The sequence below is a fragment of the Homo sapiens genome, chromosome 9 (genome assembly GCF_000001405.40).
Source record: "Homo sapiens chromosome 9, GRCh38.p14 Primary Assembly".
NCBI lineage: Eukaryota > Metazoa > Chordata > Mammalia > Primates > Hominidae > Homo > Homo sapiens.
The window spans coordinates 77,017,313-77,033,958 of NC_000009.12; the positions used below are offsets into that span (position 1 = coordinate 77,017,313).

General features: G+C 48.8%; 1 protein-coding gene across 1 annotated transcript; it reads left to right on the top strand.

The window, feature by feature from the left end:
* Positions 1–2,342: 2,342 nt before the first annotated feature.
* Positions 2,343–3,641, top strand: FOXB2 (forkhead box B2). Its single transcript, NM_001013735.1, has one exon. It carries the CDS (start codon positions 2,343–2,345, stop codon positions 3,639–3,641), a length of 1,299 nt encoding a protein of 432 aa, NP_001013757.1.
* The last annotated feature ends 13,005 nt before the right edge of the window (positions 3,642–16,646 follow it).

Sequence of the window (16,646 nt, forward strand, 5' to 3'; positions counted from 1 at the left end):
CAGCTCACCAAAAGCCAGAAGCTGAAAACACCCGATCTGGTGTCACCAAGGTTGCTAGTTAGGGGGCAGCCCCCCAAGCAGCTGGGCCGATGGCTTTCTTCCAGGTTAGGCGTGGGAAAACCGAGGGAGCCATAGTGTCCAAATGCTCCTTTCTCCTCAAATCGCCTAACGGGAAAGGACCCGTGAATTTCCAACTTCAGCCACCCTATTTTACAAATAATGAAACAGTCCCAGAGACGGAGAGTATACTTGTTTCTAAACTCTGCTTTTCCTCCCAGCTGAAGGGCAAAGGTAGCCAAAACGAGTATACAACTTCAGGTTCTCCCTGCAGTAAACTGGGGTTTCCTGCTGGGTGTTTGGATGAGTGCAGAGCAGGAACCTCCAAGCAGAAGGACCTCACTCCTGGGTTCATCCACCTCTCCCTCGCAGATCACACCAGGATCCTGTGGACTGATAATTTTTGCTTCCTATTTAATTATTTCCATTCCACCTCCTGCCTCGCCCTGGCCCCACACCACCGTGCTAAGAATAGCAAAGATTTCCTTCCAGCACACACAGGTGATGGGACCCCTGAATCCCCAACTCTTACTTCTGGCCCCAGCTCAGACATCGCCATCCCAGAGAAACCTCATCTTGTCCAACTCACTCGCTCCAGGAAAGTGTGGTGGAGCCTCCATTCGCCAAGCCCTTTAGTGCCTATTCTATTAATTTCTTGGTTACTGTTCGTCTCACCCTCTATACCGCGATGGTGGAGCTCGGATACTGTCTCCTGTCTCCCTGCACCTGGTGCCTCACATGCAGTTGGCGCGCAATAAAACTGAGATGAATTTGGCATTTGGTGAAAACACCCCATGCTTTCTTCCCCATGAGTTTTTCCCTCCAGCCCTCTAATCATCGGGGTTTCTTGCAGAGAAGAGGCCTTGAGGACACGATACTCTGAACTTGACCCAGAGTGTCTAGCCCAGGAAAAAGGGTTTGTAAGGAGAGAGAAGCTCACAGCGAGTAGATGAAAACAGGGAAGGGTAAAAGGAAGGGGGCGGAAGAGGGAGATGCCAGAGAGAAGAGAAGCAAGAAGGCAGTGTCCTGTTCCCCCTCCACCGTGCTTGGTGGCCCGGGTGGGGCGCAGCTGCGGGAAATGCACCCGGAGCTGTGCCCCCTCCCGGCGAACAGCCTGCGCCACCCGCCGCACCGGGAGGTGGCTGGGGGCTGCCGAGCGAGTGGTGAACGCGATGGGTGGAGAGCGCCCGAAACGAGGTGGAAAAGGGGGCGGGGGCGAGGCACGGCGCCTTCTTGCCCCTTCTTCAGCTACAGACGCGGCGGCGGCGGCTGAGTCCCTCAGCCTCGGTCATGTGATAGTCTCGAAGCGCTAGCTGCGGGGGTCTCGGCGTCTCGGGGACCATTACAAAACGCAGCCAGGAGAGCGCGTCGCTGCCACTGCCGTCGCCTCTCCTCCTCAAGACAAGCCCGGGAGAAAGGCGGCAGCTGCGGCGCGGACGGCTGAGCCTCCCCGGCCAGCACTCACCCAGCATTCGCAGACGCCCTCTCCAGCCCGCCGCTCGCTCCCAGAGTCCTGCGCCCCACACTCCTCAGCAGAACCTGCGGGCGCTGCCGCTTCAGAAACCACCAAAGTTTTTTCTCCTCAGCGACAGCCTAGGGCTGCGCGTCTCTTCTAACCCCGGCGACGCTGCGAGCCTCGGAGAAAAGAGAGGCGCCCTAGAAGCCAATCTTCTCTCTCCTTACCCTGATTTTTCACTCCAGGAAAAGGAGAACTCCAGCGCGGTCTGGCTAAGTGCCTGGCCAGGGGCCTGCGTCCAGGGCACTGGAAGTCCTGCTGTCACTGGCCTCCAGGACAGCAGGCGCAAACTCAGATTTAAAGGGCCAGAGTCTCTACTGCCCAGACCTTCCTCCCAGCCATCTTGGTCTGGGTTTCCCTCGGACCTAGAAAAAGCAAAGAGGCCGGGAGGAAACACGGCCCCTTGCCACTCTCCTCTGCAGCCAGCTCCAGCACTCAGTCTTTGGCCACCCGGGGGAAGACGCAGAGAAGGCGGCGGTAAACCTGGTGCACTCCGCCCGCGACTGTGCGCGCCAGTCGGCAACCGTCGGGGCCAGAAGTTGCCAGCTTCCGAGAGCTGAGTAGGCCCGAAAGGCCAAGGTCGGAGACACCAGGCAATTCGGAGAAGGCAGGAGAGAGAAGCAGAGAGGGCCTGGAGGGCGAGAGGGCAAAGTGGCGGGACTGGAGGGGCCGAGTGGGAATTAGTGGGGGCAGCCAGGCCCCAGGAACGGAGTGCGGAGAGATTCTGTGGTCCAGTGCGGGCCGGAGGGCGGTGGAGGAGCCGGGGGCGATGCCGCGGCCGGGGAAGAGCTCGTACAGCGACCAAAAACCGCCCTACTCTTACATCTCGCTGACCGCCATGGCAATCCAGCACTCGGCCGAGAAGATGCTGCCGCTGAGCGACATCTACAAGTTCATCATGGAGCGCTTCCCCTACTACCGCGAGCACACACAGCGCTGGCAGAACAGCCTGCGCCACAACCTCTCCTTCAACGACTGCTTCATCAAGATTCCGCGGAGGCCCGACCAGCCTGGCAAGGGTAGCTTCTGGGCGCTGCACCCCGACTGCGGGGACATGTTCGAGAACGGCAGCTTCCTGCGGCGTCGCAAGCGCTTCAAGGTGCTGCGCGCCGACCATACTCACTTGCACGCGGGAAGCACCAAGAGCGCGCCGGGCGCCGGTCCGGGAGGGCACCTTCACCCCCATCACCACCACCACCCCCACCACCACCATCATCACCACGCTGCCGCACACCACCACCATCACCACCACCCACCCCAGCCGCCGCCGCCGCCGCCCCCGCCGCCGCCGCACATGGTACACTATTTCCATCAGCAACCGCCTACTGCTCCGCAGCCGCCTCCGCACCTCCCGTCACAGCCCCCGCAGCAACCGCCCCAGCAGTCGCAGCCTCAGCAGCCGTCTCACCCCGGCAAGATGCAGGAGGCGGCGGCCGTGGCGGCGGCGGCGGCGGCGGCCGCGGCAGCCGCGGTGGGCAGCGTGGGACGCCTGTCTCAGTTCCCACCCTACGGGCTGGGCTCGGCCGCCGCCGCTGCCGCCGCGGCCGCGGCGTCCACGTCAGGCTTCAAGCACCCCTTTGCCATTGAGAACATTATTGGCCGGGACTACAAGGGCGTGCTGCAGGCTGGAGGGCTGCCCTTGGCGTCCGTCATGCACCACCTGGGCTACCCCGTGCCCGGCCAGCTTGGCAACGTCGTCAGCTCCGTGTGGCCGCACGTTGGCGTCATGGATTCGGTGGCCGCCGCCGCGGCCGCCGCAGCCGCAGCCGGAGTCCCTGTAGGCCCGGAGTATGGGGCCTTCGGGGTCCCGGTCAAGTCCCTGTGCCACTCGGCAAGCCAGAGCCTGCCTGCCATGCCGGTGCCCATCAAGCCCACGCCTGCGCTGCCGCCCGTGTCCGCGCTGCAGCCGGGGCTCACTGTCCCCGCGGCTTCGCAGCAGCCTCCGGCGCCATCCACCGTGTGCTCCGCGGCCGCGGCCTCGCCCGTTGCCTCTCTGCTGGAGCCCACAGCCCCTACCTCGGCCGAAAGCAAGGGCGGCTCCTTGCACTCGGTGCTAGTGCACTCCTAGGGGACCCGGCGGGCGTGGGGAGACCAGCGGGGTGAGAGACGCCGGGCCCGGAACCGCCCAAACCACCCGACGGGGAGAGGGCGCCCTGGTCAGGCCGGGCAGAGCTGGCGAGTCTCAGCCTTTGCTGGAACGGAAGGTATTTAAATAGACGAACAACCCCGAAAAGTGGATTCTCCAGTGGTCTGAATAAATATAACCTTCCTGGTGTCTGTGTTTATACTATGTTGTACAATCAGATTAATGAAAGCCAATTTTCAGGTAAGAGTTTCTATTGTAATTAATATAAATCCATAAGTTATGGGGGGAGGGAACGAAGGAGGTTAGGAAAGCCTCATTCGCTGGTAAATTGGAAGTCGATTCTGACCCTTATTCCTGGGAGCAGAAGCTGGCAGAGCTAAACCTCCCGCGAAGAATCCAACAGAGAGTGACGCTGAAACGGATCTCAGCCACCACGTTTCTCTCTGCTGGTCGCATCCTCGGCGGTCGCCTCTCGTGAACATTCAAGACAAAACTGCCGTCCACTAAGGAAATTTCGTTTTATTTAAGAAGGAAAAGAGGAAGCGTTTGATACCGTTATTTTCCTAGTCAGCTAAATGGGCAAGGAAACGGTGTCATGAATAAAGTCGCTTTGGAGGGGGAAGGGGAGGAGAGGAGGCAGCGGGAACCCCACGAAATATCTTTGGGAAACAGCTAAGGTTCTTGGCTCTGACCTGGGGGTCAAGAAGGATAGGAGGAACCTCTAGAGCAATTAGTTTGTACAAAAGAGAATGGCAGCAGCTTAAAGGGTAAAGCCCCAAATTCCAAAAGTTGGGAAACACAACCAAAGGGAGACAATACAGGCGACTTTCCACCTGCAACTTGTTTGGGTATCAGTCGGATGAGAGCCCAAGAATAATGTGAATTCCCACGATCCTTTCTATTTGGAATTTTAAGGAAACAAATCACTTGTATAGCGGGATTTTGTTTCCCTAACTTACGAATGCAGGAAAAACTCGGCACATCACTCGACAATATTGCTCTTAACGCTTGCAGAAACGTTCCATGGCTGTTCCCTTCCAGTCTCCTCGGACGGAAGCAAGGGGACCACCCAGTCACCTTTGCACGCTGCGGCTGTTTTTGTATTCCGTGTGCTGTTTGAGCGCTTATGTCTTTCAGGCGAATTAATTCTTCAGTTTCAATTCGTGAATGGGAAAGAAACTTGCCTTGTCGCTCTTGCCCTTCCCCCCTCTTGAGCCCCAGGGAATAGCACTTTACTCGCGACACAATTTTGGGAATGGAGGGGGGCAGAGTGGGGAGAAATCCGCTTTGCCCTTTGGCTCTAAGTCACCTCCGCCTCTTGTCCGCGCCGCGTTCGGGTTGTGACTTTGTTTATGTCTGCTGGTGTTGTACGCGGTGTTCTCTATTAAAGCTTCTCTCTGGATATCTATGCTAGCCCCGTGTGAAGGTGTTTCAGTTCTCCAAGGATGAGGCCGTGGTTTGAGTGCCCACAGTTAGGTTAGGGTACTTTGCAAATCCTTCCCCTCCCTCTTATTTCTTAACTTCAGAACTTCAAAGGGGTGAGTACACGGGCGAGCCACCAGTAAGCACCGATTTCCTTCATTGCTCCTTTCAGCCTTTGGCACAATCATCTCTTTTACTATCTATTATTATTAGTAGTAGTATTTTAGAGACAAGATCCCACTATGTTTACCAGGCTGGTCTCGAACTTCCGATCTCAAACAATCGTCCCATCTGGGCCTCCCAAAGTGCTAGGATTACAGGCGTGAGCCATCACGCCCGGCCACCACCTATTTTTAATATGTCCGTTTCCTAATTGAACTTAAGTCCACCACCATGGTAGAGACTGAATTAGCAAAAACCCGCAACAGTGCGTTTTTCCTGTCACCACTATCCGTCACCTCTCTCCCATTTTGAGGTCCTCGACTACCATCTAAGGCCAGGAACTCGGTGTCAGCGGGGTGGGTGCCCGACGGCGCCCCCTTAAGTCTGCGGTCCTGGACGGAGGCAGCCGGGTTGGCGCCGGGACACTGCCGCTGCCGCATCAACTAGGCAAGCGCGCCCAGCCACCGCCGCCTAGAAGACCTGTTGCGCGCCGACACCGCGCCTCGCGGGAGGCCACAGCCTGGGGCCTGGGACCGCAGAGTTCTTGGTGGGTGAAAGCCGGCGGCCAAGCTGCTCGAGCTGCGGGAAGGGAACCCTTGGGCAGCGGCTGCTGCAGAGCTGCTCTGGGAGTGGGCCAGGAGGCCCCGGCAGGGTGCGGCGCCTCCGCTGGGGCCTGGGAAGCCGCGTCCCGGCCTCCGCCCTCCACCCTTTAGCACAGGTCTACTTTGAACCAGCTTCCGTGTGCCCAGCCAGGCCAACGAAAGTCACCTCTGACCTTTCATCAGAATAAAATAAAAAGCCAAAAGACCACCCATGCACAGAATGACAATGGCAGGGGCAGGAATGGGGAGGAAGTTAGGTTACATCTTAAAACTAGGTGTTTCAACGAATCCCTTATTTACAAATCCCATTGCGGCGTGCCTCAAAGTTTTGACTTCGCCTGGGAGACATTTCTTAGGCCAGAAGTTTTGTTTTGGGGGCTCAAACAATTCGGGAGTATATCCCATTCTTCCAGCTTGAGACTGCCACGTTTCCTGTGAGGTTTTCCTCTCTGTTATTCTGGGACTATTGAAAGAGAAAAGAAAGAAGGCGGAGGGGACCCTGACACGGGAGTTATAAATCTGGGGGAACTTTGGGGTCTGGCTTCCTTGTCCATCTCCAGGTGATCTGAAGCCCCGGCCCCAACCTAGTTTAGCAGCAGCGAGTTACCCGGCCAGAAGAAGGGCCTGGGATCCCAGGGGTTTCTTCAAAGCACCTCCTCTCTCTTTCTCACCTGCCTGAAAGGCCCAGTGTGCTTTTTAGGGGTGCCCTCGGTCCTGCTTTCAGGAGAGAGGTGAGGCCCAAAGCGACCTGCGGCGCCGGGTGGGCTGGCTCAAGGGTCAGCCTCTCCAGAAAGAGAGGAAGCTGTGGGCCATGAAGCTTCCCGGCACCCAGCCCCTGCCGTGGAACCCCCTCCTGCATCAGTGAGGTAAACACAGTGGTTTGGTTTGGTTTTCACAGTAAGGAGAAGGAGAGAAAGAGCAGAGATGAGGAGGCACAGTTTTCATCCAGAAGGGAACCTTGGTTCACAAAGGAAGCTGTGAACGAAGTGGAGACTGGAGAAGGTGGGGGGGGTTCGTGTAAATAAACAAGGGGGCGGGGCTTTTCTGCCAAGGCCCTGATCCCAAGGGAGACCCCAATTAAGGCCCTGGACACCGCCCTGAAGACCCTTCTTCATTAAGATGGCGCCTGGGTTCCTTGAACCCTAACTGTATTGTGAGGGCTTCATCCCCAGTAGCACCTACTACCGGCGTTGCCAAGCCGGGAACCTAGCAAGGAATAGTCTTGACAGGCCTTTGGGATACCAGGACTGGGAGACCCCCCAGGCCCAGGCTCACTGCTGTCACCAGAATCATATCTATATATCCAAGTGCCAAAACACATCCACTCAAAGACATCCGGGCCGAGTTTGGTGCTTATTTTAAATATGCTAATAGGGGTCCAACCATTGACAAAGTATTGGTTTGGCAATAATGGAAGTTTATAGAGAACCACTAAAACCTGTATAAGAGGAATAATAAATTAATGATGATATTTTGGTAACCCTCTCAACATGAAGTCATGCTCCTAGTTTCCAGGATGATAGAAAAGGCTGTAGTTGTTTAGCCTGTATCCCACTTAAGTGAACCCTGAGAAAGACGAAGAGAAGCAATGAGGAAGGAGGGTGGTGTTGATATTCTTAAAATAAAAGTAGAAAGAAAACAACTTGGAATGAACCACTTGATTATATTTTGGAGGGAAGTTGAGAACAGAGTTAAGGGCCAAGGTTAGGATGAAGCTACGTTAGCTATCATCCCAAGGAGAACAGGCCTTCCCATAAGGGCCGGGACTGGCACAGTTGGCATCTGGCACTTAGGAAGCCTGTCAGAAAGGCTGGCTTGTGGTCAATTATCTCCTTAAGTAGACTGGCATTAGTCCAGCCAGGGAGGAGGACTAGTTGCATCCATAGGAATCAGAGCCAGTTAGCTGGAAGTGGCACTGCTGAATTCCAAGCATCTTTGCATTGAGCAGTTTAGAAGGCTGATCAACACATCTCCTCCTGGGATTCAAAGGTGACATTTGCCTGCTTGGCACTAGTACAGGAAGACTCCAGCTGAGTGTGGAAATAGAGTGCCTTAGGAGAAGCAACACTGATCATTAAAGCCACTGATTCTCCTCAAATTCCATTCATCTGACAAAATTGCCATTTTCATTCCATTTCATTCCAATGCCATTTCATTTTTCATTGTATCTAACTATGAAATGGGAAGAAAGGATAGCCTGGGGACATGTTCAGGCTTGGATGATGTGGCAAGGACTTGAAGAGGTATTTGTGTTAACCAGATTGTGTGTCTGTGAGTCTGTGTGGGAGTGCAAGAGCAGGGTGGAGTTAGCGTTGAAAATGGAAAACTAAAGAAATAGTTGCAAAAGCCAGGGATAAGCTAACCTCTTTTGGGTTTAAAGGCAGAGTGAGGATCCAAGTGTAGCTGGGAAGACCTTGAATTCCAGAGGACAAAAACAATTTCTTCAAGTCCAGCATTCCCCATTTTGCTCATTCGAAGTATTTACATTAACTTTATCTTACAAAGTTGAAAAGCTACCTTATATCCTTTGGGGGAGATTAAAGAGATCTGCTTGGGATTTTAATTCAGTCTTAAACCATTGTTTAAATGGTATGAGTCTGGCAAAACTTCAGCTATACTCTGTCCCAAGCACTTTTCCCCTTTAACTATTCCCTGTGTGTTTTAAGGAAAATTCAAGCCACATGTTTCTCTTTCCCCCTTGCATCCAAATGTAGTTTTATTGAATTTTAGCACAGTCCACGAAATTCAAATTCTGAGTTTTAAGCCATAATATATTCATATGATCTATACTCAGTCACATGATAAGCACATATATTATTAAGCAGAAAATAAAGCATCTGAGAACTACAGTTATATGATTATAGTAACATTTCTTTAGACTGAAGAGCCACACTGGATGCCACATTAAAAAGGATGTTATAAAATTATCAAACACTTTTTAAAAGCTAACATAGTGATTCATGAAAACATTTTAAAAGAATATTGGAAGGAGGTTCTTTTTGTATTTAATTTAATCCAAACAGTTCTTTCCTGACACAAGGAACAGTGTCTTTTGTATACCTGAGACATCCAAGCTTTGCTCATAAGTCACTGACCTCATAACTGCAGCATCATTTTTAAAAGGAGTTAAAATTTGCTATCCGATCTGAGACACTGCCAGTCTTGTCAACACCTTCCTGGACAACATGTTTCTACTGTTACTGCAGAAGGATACCTGGGAAGAAAGGAGCTAGGGAGCTGAGGTCCAGGACCAGCTAAACTAGATTTATTCCAGAAAGGTTTCACAAAGCTGAAACACACAGATTTAAAAAGGAAGGAAAGAGGGAAGGAGGGAGAGGCAGAAATGTGCCTCCAATACTAACCAAGCAAAAATAAAATTAAATTACAATTTCCTTTTTCTTTTTTTTTTTTTTTGAGACATAGTCTTGCTCTGTCGCCCAGGCTGGAGTACAGCGGCGCAATCTTGGTTAACTGCAAGCTCCACCTCCCGGGTTCACGCCATTCTCCTGCCTCAGCCTCCCAAGTAGCTAGGACTACAGGTGCCCACCACCATGCCCGGCTAATTTTTCTGTATTTTTAGTAGAGACAGGGTTTCACCGTGTTAGCCAGGATGGTCTCGATTTCCTGACCTTGTGATCCTCCCTCCTTGGCCTCCCAAAGTGCTGGGATTACAGGTGTGAGCCACCGCACCTGGCCTAAATTTCAATTTTCTAACCTAATGCCATTGTTTTGGTTTTCTCTCAGGAAGCTATAGATCAATTATTTCAATGTATATTACTATATCTATGACACTAAAGAGAGTAAACTATGTAACTCTCAGCCTCATTTATTGCCTAAAAAGATGAGGCTTTAGTCTGCCTGCGAATTCCTCAGGATGAGGATTCTGTGACATTAACTTTGTTGTAATTTATTTTATAGGAATTAACCTAAATCCCCATAGGGAAATGTTTAAATAAATTATGCTATTTGCATACTATGGAATATCATGCAGTCATTATAAGTAATGTTTATGAAAATTTACTTCTAGTAGAAAATGATTATGAAAAAAAAAAAAAAGACCAGGCACAGTGGCTCACACCTGTAATCCCAGCACTTTGGGAGGCCGAAGCAGGCGGATCACCAGGTCAGGAGATCAAGGCCATCCTGACCAATATGGTGAAACCCTGTCACTACTAAAATACAAAAAAATTAGCCAGGCATGGTGGCACACACCTGTAGTCTCAGCTACTCAGGAAGCTGAGGCAGGGGAATCACTTGAACCCAGGAGGCAGAGGTTGCAGTGAGCCAAGATAGTGCCACTGCACTCCAGCCTGGTGACAGAGCAAGACTCCATTAAAAAAAAAAAAAAAAGATTATGAAATCCTATTGAGGAAAAACTATTTAATAGATGCAGTACGGTCTCAACCCTGTAACATACATTGAAAAGATACTAAAGAGCACTATACCAAATATTAACAGTAATGTCTTTAGGTTGGTGAAATGTCATTTTTTATGTGTGTTTTCCATATGTTCTAGGTTGTTTTAGATTATCTGCACCAATTAGGTTTTATTTTAATAATTAGGAAAATAATTACTCAAAAATATATTCAGCCAATATAACTGGCATTTTAACAAAATGTGGATCTTTTGTTAAGTTTTTAATTTTAATTTTTTTTTTTGAGACAGAATCTCACTCTGTTGCCTAGGCTGGAGTGCAGTGGCACGATCTCGGCTCACTGCAACCTCTGCCTCCTGGGTTCAAGCAATTCTCCTGCTTCAGCCTCCCAAGTAGCTGGGATTACAGGTGCCCACCACCACACCTGGCTAATTTTTGTATTTTAGTAGAGACGGGGTTTCACCATGTTGGCCAGGCTGGTCTTGAACTCCTGACCTCAGATGATCCACCCACCTCGGCCTCCCAAAATGCTGGGATTACAGGCGTGAGCCACTTCACCCAGCAGATCATTTTAAAATAGTAGTTTAAGTCTAGGGGGATGGGTGAAGAGCTGACTGATTGAAATATAAAACCAAACAGCAGCAAAGACACATGGAACCCTGCACAGCTTGCTATCTTCCCGCTGTGCCTTGCACCACAGCCCCCATTGCAGCCAGCCCTTCAGGAAGAAAATGAGGCTACCGCTTTACTTCAGGAATTTTCTGAGAATCACTGTGCCATAGAGCTGGAAAGAAGAAATGTTAAGGGGTTAAAATCGAGCTCCAGGAGAGAAAGACCAATTTTGCCTGTCCTTTGTTTTTGCTCTGTCCAGGTCCCCAGCCAATTGGATGGTGCCCACCCACACTGAGGGTGGTCTTCCCCACTTAATCTACTCAGATTCACATGCCAATCTCCTCTGGAGACACCCTCACAGACACACCCTAAAATAATGCTTTAGCAAGTCTCTCGGTATTTATCCCCTAATCCACTCAAGTAGACACCTAAAATTAACTATCACAGCACAGAACTTCTCAAAGTGTGGTCTGGGTTCCAGCAACATCAGCCTCACCTGAGCGCTTGCTAGAAGGGCACACAGTCTCAGGCACCACTTGACATCTGCTGAGTCAGAGTCTTTGCTGGTGAGGCCCCAAAATGGCTTGGGGGCTTGCTGAAGAGTAAAATTCACGTCATTGTATTACTTCTTCTACTGGCTTCCTCTCTTTTCACCTTTTGTGTTTCATGAATTTTTAGTAGCCTTAAACCCTTTTTGAAATTAAGAAGATAATTGACACAAAGTTCTACATTCTACCAGGTTAGGCATTTCCTTGCAAATGAAAAATAATATACAGTTTTCCAAAATAGTACTGTACTTTTTATTAATTCTAGCTGGCAACTCTTTTTGTGGAATGGCAAGGTTTTCAAGGGGAAAAGTTTTAGATACTAGTTCTATTACTTTGATTAAACCTGTATTGTGTCTTCCCTATCTATGCCAAAATTGTTTTTTTTTTTTTTTAATTCAAAAAACCTACAGCTACTCACGATTATTGCATGTTTCAGAAGGGTGAACATCTCCCAACTTTTATGCCAGAAGCCTGATAACTTATTGAAAATGGTCACAGATAATTGAGATGTAGATTTTCAAGTAAGTTTCAATGGAGAACTAAAACTGTTGAAATTATAAGACTGAATTTCTAACCCAAAGGAAAAAGAGAATCCAAGTAAAACTAAATATATCCTGCTTTGGACAGGCGCAGTGGCTCACATCTGTAATCCCAGCACTTTGGGAGGCCAAGGTGGGCAGATCACCTGAGGTCAGGAGTTCGAGACCAGCCTGGCCAACATGGTAAAACCCCATCTCTACTAAAAATACAAAAATTAGCTGGGTGTGGTGGTGGGTGCCTGTAATCTCAGCTACTTGAGAGGCTGAGGCAGGAGAATCACTTGAATCCGTGAGGCAGAGGTTGCAGTGAGCTGAAACTGTGCCATTGTACTCCAGCCTGGGCAACAAGAACAAAACCCCATCTCAAAAAAAAAATTAAAAAAAAAATGAAAAATCCTGCTTTACTAGCTTGAAATACAAAATAGATCTTCTTTCTTTCTTTCTTTCTCTCTTTCTTTTTCTTTTCTATTTTTTTTTTTTTTTTTTTGACGGAGTTTCACTCTTGTTGCCCAGGCTGGAGTGCAATGGCGTGCTCTCAGCTCACTGCAATCTCCGCCTCCCCGGTTCAAGCAACTCTCCTGCCTCAGCCTCCAGAGTAGCTGGGATTATAGGCCTGTGCCACCACACCCTTCCAATTTTGTATTTCTAGTAGAGACGGGGTTTCTCCATGTTGGTCAGTCTGGTCTCCAACCCCCAACCTCAGGTGATCTGCCTGTCTCAGCCTCCCTAAGTGCTGGGATTACAGGTGTGAGCCATGGAGCCCGGCCTGATGATATTTCTTTAATATACAAAAAAGTTGCTTTCTCATTCCAGTTACTCCTAGAAATGTATTCCTTGTCAGAGAACTCCAGAGGCCGACTCAGACCTAGTTATGCCCACCTCTTAAAGAAAAATTGAGGTCTATTAGATCTAGTAACATTGCCTTTCAAATTTTAAGTGCATATGAATCATCTGGAGAGGTTTTAAAACACAGTGTTTTGGGCCCCACCTTCAAAGACTCTGACTCAGCAGATGTGGAGTGGTGCCTGAGACTGTGCCCTTCTAGCAAGCACTCAGGTGAGGCTGATGTTACTGGAAGCCAGACCACACTTTGAGAAGTTCTGTGCTGTGATGGCTAATTTCGGGTGTCCACTTGACTGGATTAGGAAATAAATACTGACAGGCCTGGTAAAGCATGATTTTGAAGTGTGTCTATAAAGGTGTCTCCAGAGGAGATTGGCGTGTGAGTCTGAGTGGACTAAGTGGAGAAGACCCACCCTCGATGTGGGCGGGCACCATCCAATTGACTGGGAACCCAGATAGAACAAAAACATATCTATCTATGGTAGGTCAATGACAACTGCAGCCTCAGATTTTCACCTTTCCCTGCATTCTTGCCCCCTACAATGTCACTTTCTAGATCTTCACATCCAGAGGTGATTATTTTCTCCCCACCCTTGACCTGTGCCAGTCTTGTTACTTGCAGCTCAGCCAATAGAATGAGGAAGAGGTTACAGTATGCTAGTTCTGAGGCTATGTTTCAAGAACCTTGCATGCTTCTGTTTCATCCCTTAGGTGCCTGCCACTGCCACAAGGACATAAGGATGAGTGACCACGTGGAGCAGAGTTTGGGTCATCCCGAACTCTTCTTTGCCAGGGGCAAAGAACTTGTAGAGGTCTTGTTTCTGCTAGTTACCTATGTCTTATAGCTCTAGCTCTCACAGAGTTGGTCCAACATATGGCTCATCTCAGTGTCTAATGCATACTGTCCTTTACCCATAAATAAACCAGTGCAAGTGGCAAATGTCAGTGTCTGGAAGATTTGAGTTTACCTTTAAAGCCATAGTCATAAAGTCAAGCCTTCTTCCTTCCTTGCCATAGTCATAAATTCAAGCCTCCTTCTTTCCTTCCTTCCTTCCTTCCTTCCTTTCCTCTTCCCCTCCCTCCCTCCCTCCTTCCTTCCTTTCTTCTTTTGAGACAAGAGTCTTGCTCTGTCTCCCAGGCTGGAGTACAGTGGCACAATCTCAGCTCACAGCAACCCCTGCCTCCTGGGTTCAAATTATTCTCCTGCCTCACCCTCCCGAGTAGCTGGGATTACAGGTGTGCACCACCATGCCTGGCTAATTTTTGTATTTTCAGTAGAGATGGGGTTTCACCATGTTGGCCAGGCTGGTCTTGAACTCCTGGCCTCAAGTGATCTGCCCACCTCTGCCTCCCAAAGTGCTGGGATTACAGGCGTGACCCACCATGCCTAGCCAAAGTCAAATATTTATCATTTCTATTTTAAAAATCCTTGTGTCATCCTTCTACCAAGAATTTCTGACTGGTTCTTTATCATTATCCACCCTAATCTCACAGGTTGTGTGGCCCTGGTGCTCTTGTTTGACTGTTTGATCTTCCCTTTCCTTTTCAGCCACTACCTTTGCCCATGACCCTATTCCCCTTCAACTTCTGCTAACTCCTGATTAAGGGCAGTTTAATTCTCTCTCTTTTCCTGTAATTCCTTAAGACCTTAACATTGGGACTTCACCTCAATGAAAGCGCTCCATTTTCCTAAAAAAGATAGCTCTTTTTACAAGAGAAACTGAAGTTTTCACCACTGAAATCACATTTGAAAATATAACTGTAAACACATATCCATTCCAATGCATTTATTTATTTATTTATTTATTTTGAGGCAGAGTCTCACTTTGCTGCCCAGGCCGGAGTGCAGTGGTGCGATCTTAGCTCACTGCAACCTCCACCTCCTGGGTTTAAGTGATTCTCATGCCTCAGCCTCCCAAGTAGCTGGGACTACAGGCAACACACCCGGCTAATTTTTGTATTTTTAGTAGAGATGGGGTTTCACCATGTTGGCCAGGCAGGTCTAGAGCTCCCAACCTCAGGTGATCTGCCCACCTCAGCCTCTGAAAGTGCTGAAGTTACAGGCCTGAGCCACCAGGCCTGGCCCAAACCATTTATTCAAGACTGTAGTTCTGGAACCATGCCAGAGGCTGACAACAAAACCTGTTCTCTATTGTGCCAATTATTAAGCTATTGCCTCTCACTTGCAACCCCCCCCTTTCCTACTCTGCTCTAAGATGCTGTGACTAGGACTCTGCAAACTACATTTCTGCTTTGCCAGCTTGCTGTGTGTTAGATTCTGATAATACGGGGCTCAAGTGGGAGTCAACGAGTGCAAAGAAGGAAGAAACTTGCTCCTTTCTATTTGTTTCTTCTGGAGCTTCCTTCTGCTTGCAATTCCTGGAAGCATCACACTGGCAATGTTTCTTCGCCCTAACAATAGCAGCTTCTTCCCATAGCAGCAGCTGAACTCAGGTGGAAGTCTGCCAATACTTGGAGCACTAGCTTTATCCTGCCCCCATCTCAGAGAAAACAGCACCAGTCAGCAGGTGCCCCTGAGGTTCTGAGGCTTAGCTCCACTGGGTCCTCCTCTAACTTTCTAAATATTAATAACTCCAGCTTCTTCCTTTTGTACTCTCTGCCCTAGGGATGGATGGTTGCTGCTTTTTACAGTTGCTACATCTGTGATACATTAGACTTCTCTTTTTACCCTTTCAGTTTCTTCCACCTTTACACCTAGTTAATCCATTATATTAAATTCTGTCAGTAAAACTAACTGGAGAGGTTTGTGTCTCCTGGCCAGAATTTGATACATCTATCATCAAGGACCTGCTGGTCTGAAGCAGAAGACTGTCTCTTCCGAGAAAGGTGTATGTCAAAGGAAGTAGAGGAGAACGTGGATGAGAAAGTTAAAGTTCAAATTTATCCTGGGAAACAATAGGTGTAGACATAGATATGTTCATACATACCAACCAAGGAAAATATTTTAGAATTTCTTCACTTTTGCGAATATTAAAGTGTACTCTTTAAAAATAACTGTTAAAGCATGGCATGACCTTGTGTCTTTTCTGCATGACTTTCTTGCAACTTGGCTTTGAAAAATTGAATCTTGCGCCGGGCACGGTGGCTCATGCCTGGCCAATATGGTGAAGCCCTGTCTCTACTAAAAATATAAAAATTAGCTGGGTGTGGCGGCACGCCCCTATAGTCCCAGCTACTCGGGAGGCTGAAGCAGAAGAATCGCTTGAATTCGGCAGGTGGAGGTTGCTGTGGGCGGAGATCACACCCCTGCACTCCAGCCTGGGCGACAGAGCGAAACTCCATCTCAAAAATAAAAAAAAAATAAAAAAGAAGAGAGAAAGAAATAAAGAAAGAAAAATTGAATCTTTGTACGATAGATTCTGCAATCTCAATGTGACAGACCCAATCCAGGAACAATTTGCCAGGGTGAGGCTACTCCAGACCACACTATTTAGCTTCTGTCCTTCAATAACAAGGGAACAAAAAACTCAATTCTCCCTGAGAAGGTAGGAGACTAGAGAGCAAAGTGGTAAAAACTTCAACATTGAGTACAAAGCAAAACAAATCAAATAGGTCAAAGGTAAATAGAATGTTTCTGACTTTGACAAAACATAAGTACAGTCAGCCCTCCATATCTGTGGATTCTGCATTCATGGATTCAACCAACTGCAGATCAAAAATATTCAAAAAAATTATGTCTTCACTGAATATGTACAGACTTTTCTTGTCACTATTCCCTAAACAGTGCAGTATAACAACTATTTACATGGCATTTACAGTGTATTAGGTATTATAAGTAACCTAGAGATAAATTAAAGCACACAGAAGGATGTACATAGGTTATATGCAAACACTGTACCATTTTGTATCAGAGACTTGAGCAT